The sequence below is a fragment of the Homo sapiens genome, chromosome 4 (assembly GCF_000001405.40).
Source record: "Homo sapiens chromosome 4, GRCh38.p14 Primary Assembly".
NCBI classification, from domain to species: Eukaryota; Metazoa; Chordata; class Mammalia; order Primates; family Hominidae; genus Homo; species Homo sapiens.
In genome coordinates, this window is record NC_000004.12 from 70,359,369 (window position 1) to 70,367,561 (window position 8,193).

General features: G+C 36.0%; 1 protein-coding gene across 1 annotated transcript; it reads left to right on the forward strand.

Annotated features, from left to right (window-relative positions):
* The first annotated feature begins 1,391 nt into the window (after positions 1-1,391).
* On the forward strand, positions 1,392-7,790 carry SMR3A (submaxillary gland androgen regulated protein 3A). The gene is made up of 3 exons (NM_012390.4): positions 1,392-1,474; positions 2,734-2,801; positions 7,276-7,790. Exons 2-3 carry the CDS (start codon positions 2,748-2,750, stop codon positions 7,624-7,626), a joined length of 405 nt encoding a protein of 134 aa, NP_036522.3. The 5' UTR covers positions 1,392-1,474; positions 2,734-2,747; the 3' UTR covers positions 7,627-7,790.
* The last annotated feature ends 403 nt before the right edge of the window (positions 7,791-8,193 follow it).

Genomic DNA, 8,193 nt, shown 5'->3' on the forward strand with positions numbered 1-8,193 from the left:
TTATGTCATCAGAATTTTTAAAGGCAGTGAAACTCCAACAAAGTAAATGAAATTAAGTACAGTCATTCAAAACTAACATCAACTCTGAAAGTGTGACTTCTTAATTTCTACATCACCTATGACTCACAAAAATTTTAAAACACTAATCATTTAGATATGCTGTAACTTCAGCAACTTGCACTCTGTCTTACACCCACAGGTAGCTAATAAATGTTAGTAGGAAAGATAAAAGGAAAAGGGAAGGAAGGAAGGAAGGAAGGGAGGGAGAGAGGGAGGGAGGGAAAGGAAAGACGGAGGGAAAGGAAGGAAGGAAAGAAGGAAGGTCCTAATCTCCATGACTTAGAAATTATAAATATAAACATTTTAAATATATATTTTTAAATGAAGAAATTGAGACACAATAAGGCAAAATATCTTGTCTCATATAACCCAACAAGGAAGTATTGTTACTGTGCTTTGAAGTGGAATGAACTATTAAGTTCACTTGATTCATCTCTCTGATGTACTGTAACACAATGTTAGTAAAGTGTATGGTGATTGTTAAGATTAGGGAGGTAATATGGAATACTGGTTAAAAAAATCACTTAGGCCTTGAAGTGGGCTGACTTAAGGTCAAGTTCCGCTCAGCTAATTAGCATCTCTGTATAAAACTGAGATGATAATAGAACTCATTTTAACCTGCCACATGGAATATGCTAGAGGCTCAATAAATAATAGCTGTTATTATGATTATATAATAATGTATTAAAACGAGAGTATAAGATCATCCAGCATAGGAAAAATTATCCTCAGTGCCTAGATTTATCAAAAAGACAAGGCTATAAATTTCCATTAGACATCCACTTCAAAGTAAAAATATCTGTATAATTTTCCCATAATCAAATCTTTGCATGTCATCATATTTTCATTTAATTAAAACTCTCAAGTTAATAACAACAGGGACCACATGATTTTTAAAACACGGTTGTTCTCAGTTCTTCACTGACAAAAGGGAACTTCCTATAGAAAATACAAAAGATGGCCCATTAAATAAAATAGAAAATACAAAAGATGGCCCATTAAAATTACTCGGGATAGAAAAAGTTGGTGCTTTTTCTTTAAAATAAAGAGGAAATGGTGCGCCACAGGCCCCAGATTGTTTCCCTGAAGTGAGAGGATATTATTTGTTGAATCTGTTTCCCCAGGAAACAACAAATATTGAACAGGTCAATGCTTTTCAGAAATGAGACCCAAAAAATGCGGAAAAAGACTGCCAAATTGGCAAGAACAACTTTCCTATCTTTGTTTGAAGAGCATCAGCCCAGAAGTTATTTTATTTCCAAGTAGCCTTTCTTTTACTGCCAACAGAAATCTTTTGCAATATATAAGAACTGAAGTTTCTTGTCTCTTTTCACCTTTATTTTCTGTCTTTCAACTGGCAAGAGTCATTTTGACCAGCAGGTTAATCAACTCTAAGACAGATCCTCACGCAAAGGTATGTACCTGGAAATATTAACTGAAGAAATTTTTTCTCAGACTTTTCATGAGCTTTTTATAGGACATTCATTATCACCAAAAACATAAGCACCTTCACCTTATGTAAAATTGTAAGTCGTTAAACATATCAAATCTTGAAAAATTATGTTATTCACATGTCAGAGTAAAGCATTCATGTTGGGCATTGAGGACAATTAGTCCACCCAAGTACACAATTGACTTTTCCCCTTGATGTTCCTTAAAGTTCTTGAAACTTCATAATGATAGATTATTCTCAGATGTACTCTAAAAGAGGGAATTGTTCCACAGTATATGTTTATTATTAGTTTTTCTTTTGTTTTTCAAACTTCTTATAAGAACGGATCCTGGGAAAAGTAATCCTTAAGGGAATAGCCACACCCACATACAATTGAATATCCAGTGAAATTTTGTCCATATGATTCTTTCAAAACTTGCGTTGTTCAGACAACACACTCAACCTATGTGCAGAGTTGACTGTCAGGAAGCCATTTGTACAATGGTGCATGGAGTTGCTTTCCCAGAACTCAAGCTATCAGGTACTTGAAATATTTCACAAATTGTGAGCCAACTGTGAATAAAATATCTGGACTCCTCCATATTCTCTGACTTGGTCTTTGATCTACCATATACGGATTTTTGGAAGCACTTTGAGACCACACATCACAGACTAAATTAATTTAGTGGAATGTTGTTAAAACTAGGAGATATATAATATGACTCTTTTTTTCTTACACTACATCAAACAGAGTGATTTCTTTCTTTTCCTTATTTTTGAGATATCCCAAGGAATTACACTAACATATGATCTAGTTAATATGTTAATATTTCAAACCCAAGCCTATAGAAATCTATAAAACAATGTACCTGCTATTTAAAAATGCAAAAGTATTCAAATGTAAATAATTGTACATGTCAAAGTAGTTACCTCTAAAGGCAAAAACTGTAGTTACAAAAGCTTCTATTGTTCAATCATTTATGAACAACTCTTTGGCATTATCTCCAGTATCAGTTTACAAGTCAAAAATAAAAACTACTTCCACTATTTTGAAGTCAAATTTTATAAGCCTACTAATGTTGTCCCACAGTAATACTGAATCCAAAATAATGTTAGGCAAATTTCCTAAAAAGGCTACAGTAGTATATCTGTACTACATTATATCCATGTGTTGAGACATTTTAAATAGTACTTTTTAATAAAAAACAATCATACTGATCACCTATTGTGCTTACTTTCAGAGGCAACTGAAAGGATGAAATCACTGACTTGGATCTTGGGCCTTTGGGCTCTTGCAGCGTGTTTCACAGTAAGTATCATTAATCACGATCACACATCTTTATACTTTCTCATTAACCATTACTTCAGATTTCTTTTTACATTAATGATGTTACCTTTTCTTATATATTAGTAACTATTAACCGTTGATGAAACACTGTTCTAGTGGTTAAATTTAAATTTAAAATCTAATTTAATTTAAATAGCCCCATATGTCTGATGGCTACAATACTGGACAGCTCAAGTCTGTAATATCAGACTGCATTAAACAGATAAGTATAAATGTAGGTCCCCATACTCTAGCAATTACACAATAGGTAAAACTCTATAAAATGAGATAGTTTAAAGTAGTTGTTCCTAACATATGGAGTCACCTAACTCACTTATTAAAAATATAGTATTAAAGTCCTCATCCAAGCCTGAATAATAGGACCTGGGAAGATGCATTTTGCAGAGGATTTAGGAGAATCTTTGCATGCTAAATTTTGAGGAAATAATAAACATTTATAGTAACACCTACCATATATTAAAAACTAGGTTAAGGACAACTACCCTTATTGTCCTTAACCTAGTGTTTCAGAATTTTTTAATGCATATTTTTAAAAGTAATAGAATGATACTCAATTTCAACAGAAGGGTCAATTAATTCCAGTGTTACAAAGAGGAGATTAATTCCAGAGTAACTTCTCCCAAAGTACCATAAAATCTATTATATCAAATGGGAAAATATGAAAGCTGATTTTTTAGAAGACTATGACTTCCACAAAGCAGGCAACATAAAATTATATCATTCTGAAACATGAAACATAAAATAATACCTCTTTCTTCTACTTTTAAAAACTTGAATAAAAACAGGACATTCTGAGATGACTGAAGTATTCTGACTTTGGCCACCTTCCTGCATGCATTATGGGTGGACATAATTTTTGATAAGCCAATAAAACATATTGACATCCGTTAAATGTCATGTCTTAATGACTTCATCATAAAGCTGATTTTCAACATTTTCACATCCTCAAAATACAAGAGAAAAACATTTTATTCAGGCTTTTATTATACAAATAGTAACTTTTTACAAGATAAATTAGAAAAACAGAGCTTTCCAATAATATAAGCAGTTTAAATAGAAATGAGCCTTTTTCCAGTTGATATGATAATGATGATTAATAATTACTGAACATTGGAAATGTGAAGGGTAGCATGTCCTTTGCATATACATATTTGTAGATGGGGTAAGTCATCATATTCAGCCTGTTACCTTTTGAGTGTTTTCTCTGTTATAGGTAATTTTCCAAATGCATTACATACATTATCTCTTCTTTAATCCTCAAAGCAAGTCTCACTATTTTTAATCTCACTAAAATACAAATAAATTTAGATTCAAATTATGCATGTCTTAGCTGGATTATTGCTAAATTGAATAATGTAGGAGATTAACATTAATTATAGCCCTTTGAGAGGGGAGTGTTTCTTCCTAATATAGTATTTTCATCATTTTCATCATTTTACTTTAGCCAGTTGTGGAAAGGGAGCTTATCACTGCGATTGGGTTAAGAGAACAGGAAAAGAATAGATATTTACTATGAAGATTTTTCATTACATAATATTTAGATCAACATCGGTATATCTTTAGGAAAAGGTACTTTCAGCTAATTTTTTAATTGTCTCAACAATAAAAATGTGTGAAATATTTTTCCATACTAAGGATTTGTTTTCTTGACAATAAAAAATCAAATCCTGAACTTCCACATAACCTGACTAGTCCTTGGATTGGCAGCCCTTGGGTCAAACACCCTGCATAACAACTTGAACCATCACTAGCTAGAGAAGACAAATGCAAGGCTGGTCCCACAGAAGTGCCTTGGAATTTTTTGTTTGTTTCATTGGTGATATGAATAAAACTTTTACCGGCATGTTAAGGGCAAAAGCCAGGTTGAAGAGCAAATGGGAAGTGAGAAGTGGGGTTGGCAAATTTAGAATACTCTTTCATAGAGCTTTGCTTTGCAGGAAAGAGGTGAAAAGGAGGTCACAACAACAAGGGTATTGGTGGTTGAAACTGAATCTTTTATAAACAGGGAAATATCAATTTATATTTATTTCCCAAATGATGTCTTCGACCTCTCTGTACGTGTTAGGTGAAAGCGGCAAGATTAGAATCAAGAGGTCAAATCAACGGGCCCTACAGTAATTTGGGTAAAAGTAAATGACAGATGAGAATGAAAGCAAGAAAGATGATAAGAAGTGGTTAGATTTAGAATTCAGGGAGTGGGATGAAGAGCTGATAGGATAGGGAGAAAAAAAATTGAGTTGAACATAAATGATAGTGTTTTTCTGAAGAAAATGAGCTAATTAAATGGCAGATATTACTTGCAGAAAGTAAAAGAGAAGACTGACAGAGCCAGGTCCCTCAGAAAACAATTATAAAGAAAAAGAAACTGTCTAGCTATCAATGACTCCATGGTTGTGTGGCCAGTAAATCAGGGAAGTTCGTTTCTAATTGCCTGAAATATCTTGGTGAAGCAGGAGAAAAGCCAGTTTGGTGGGGGTAGATGAGAGCTCAGGATGAAGTGGAGAATGTTTATAAAATTGGCATCAACTTGGAAAATTACAGGCCTCTGGGGAAGTGGGAAGAGATAATCTAAGGTAAGATACTCAAAAAAGGATTTCAGGCAGCACTGAAGGACGCTAACTTTCTGATGGTACAGTGCTTGTGACATCCTCTAGCATTGTTAAGAACCTGGAACTAGGAATCCAGGAGAAAGATGGTTTACCGTAATACTAAAGTTTAGGATTAGCAAGGGTAATGGCCAGACAAATAGGTGAAGGGACTGAGAACCACAAGAAGTGAATGTAGTTTTGTGCCCTATATAAACCATCTGCTCCAAGCAACCTGGAGTTCTTGCCGTCAGTAGAGTGGAACTTCATTCTTACCCCAGAGCATTTGCATATTTTCCTTCTATTTGGCATGCTCCCTCCTTATTTTGTATTCTTTAAGCCTCTTTTCAATAACTCCTTATCACAGAGACAATCCTTTATCATTTTCCTATCCAGAACTGATCTCTTTAAATCCCTAATGTATTTGTTCCTTGCACTACTTTTCAGCTATTTTTAGATTTTTAATGGAGATGGGGTCTTATTATGTTGTCCAGGTTGGTCTTGAACTGCTGGCCTAAAGCTATCTACCTACCTCAGCCTCCCAAAGTGCTGGGATTACAGGCATGAGCCACCATATCCAGCCTCAGCTATTTTCATTTCTAAAAATTGTACTCTATGTAAACCAGACCTGAGATAAGCACCACCCTAGGCACTTTACAGGTGATATTTCACAATAGATGTGACAACAACCGCAGGAGATGGGTACTTTTATGAACATCATTTTCCTGATAAGAAAAAGAGACTCAAAAAGGATTCTATACTCACCCTATCTCTATGTGCCAGAAGGAGAGCTCAAACACTGGCATGAAATCCCAGACACTCATTCCATTCATTTCACTTCCCTTTAGATCACATTTATCCCCCCCTGTATTGTAATTACTCAGCCTGTGGATTCATAGAAGACATGTTTGTACCCCTGGCAAACTGCCAGGTTGACATTCATGACATGAATGAACCAGCTCCTTCATTAGCTCATTGCACAAAATAGTTGCTCACATGTGTTTCACAATTAATTAATGTTCAAAGCCCAGAACAACCCTGAACTCTTGAATTAGACATAAAAAGACGTGTCTTTCCCATGCTGCAAAGGCATTTATTTCCATTTAGAATTTGGAATGACAGACTTCACTACAGGCCAAGGATAAGATTTTTGCTCATTATCTATTTTTTCCAGTCAATACTATCCAAGCTTTCATTGAGAGCCTAGGTATTCAGAGGGCAAAAGAGAAACATTTTTCTTTGATACAGAAGTTCATACATCATAACTTAGATACATTTAACAATTTTCTATTGCTCAATAACAAATTACCACTAATTAGTAGCCTTTAAAAACTCATTATTATCTCAGTTTCTTTGGCCATAACTCTGAGCTTGGCTTAGGTGGCTTCTCTGCTCAGAGTCTCACAGGCTGAAAAGGTGTGTCCATTGCTGTATTTTTTTTTTCTGCACCTCAGTGTCCTTTTTTAAGCTTGCATGGTTGTTGGCAGGATTCAGTCCCTTGGTTGTTGGACTGAAGCCCCTATTTTTTTTGCTGCCTATGAGCCAGGGGCCACTCTCAGCTCCTATAGCCAGTCTACCATGTACTTCCACATGGCCCTCGCCACAACACGGCATCTTGATTCAAAGCCCAGAGGAAAGCATTTGCTGCAGCTTCAAATCTCTCTGATTCCTTCTCACATTGTAGAACCTGTTTTAAAAGGGCTCACCTGATAAGGTCAGGCCAGCATGTGCCAGCAGGGAGTAGAAATCTTGAGGCCATCTCAGAGTTCTGCTTACCATAGAAACCATTCACCCTTATATTTAACTGTGAAATATCTGATTTAAAATTATTTACTTCTTTGTTTCCACAGCCTGGTGAGAGTCAAAGAGGCCCCAGGGGACCATATCCACCTGGACCACTGGCTCCTCCTCCTCCACCATGTTTTCCTTTTGGAACAGGATTTGTTCCACCACCCCATCCTCCACCCTATGGTCCAGGGAGATTTCCACCACCCCTTTCTCCACCCTATGGTCCAGGGAGAATCCCACCATCCCCTCCTCCACCCTATGGTCCAGGGAGAATTCAATCACACTCTCTTCCTCCTCCTTATGGCCCAGGTTATCCACAGCCACCTTCCCAACCAAGACCCTATCCACCTGGACCTCCATTTTTCCCTGTAAATTCTCCAACTGATCCTGCCCTCCCTACTCCTGCACCCTAAATACAGACAACTGCAACAGGTGCCACCACCCACAAAAGACAACACTACCCTCGTAACTACTGCTTCTACTACCCAAAAATAAGAATTTCAACACTACTTCCAAGAGACTTTTAGATAAAATCACTTCCATTTTTGGATGAGAATAAAGATTTCCAAAGCACTGAGCTTTTGGGAGAAATATCTTAGAAATTGTGAAACGATCCCCATGAACCTTTATATCAGTAGGGGAAAATAAAGAATTGAGCAACAATATGAAGTATCCACTGTTATCAGAGCCAATAGTTTACACCCCAGTTATGTCACCTAAATGAATATTAGTGCTAACAGAGCCTGGCCTTGTCCCATGAAGCCAAAAAAGTAAATTAAGGAAAAATGCAATGAGACACTTGGACTTGAACCTTAGAGTTACAAAGTTAGAAGAGTAGGCAACAAGATGCCCTCTTCAGTATGGCAACCCATCATACAATTACAAAGCCCAAAATAAGTGTTAATAGATACTAAAATGAAAGAATCTTAGCCCTTACCATAGCTTGCCCCATAAAAATTCCTGAGTACCATCTGATCACT

Bases quoted from the DNA above. Each gene is read 5' to 3' on its own strand.
- SMR3A (NM_012390.4), top strand. From the start codon at position 2,748: ATGAAATCACTGACTTGGATCTTGGGCCTTTGGGCTCTTGCAGCGTGT. The intron at 2,802-7,275 runs GTAAGTATCATT...TTGTTTCCACAG, and splicing joins CTCTTGCAGCGTGTTTCACA to CCTGGTGAGAGTCAAAGAGG.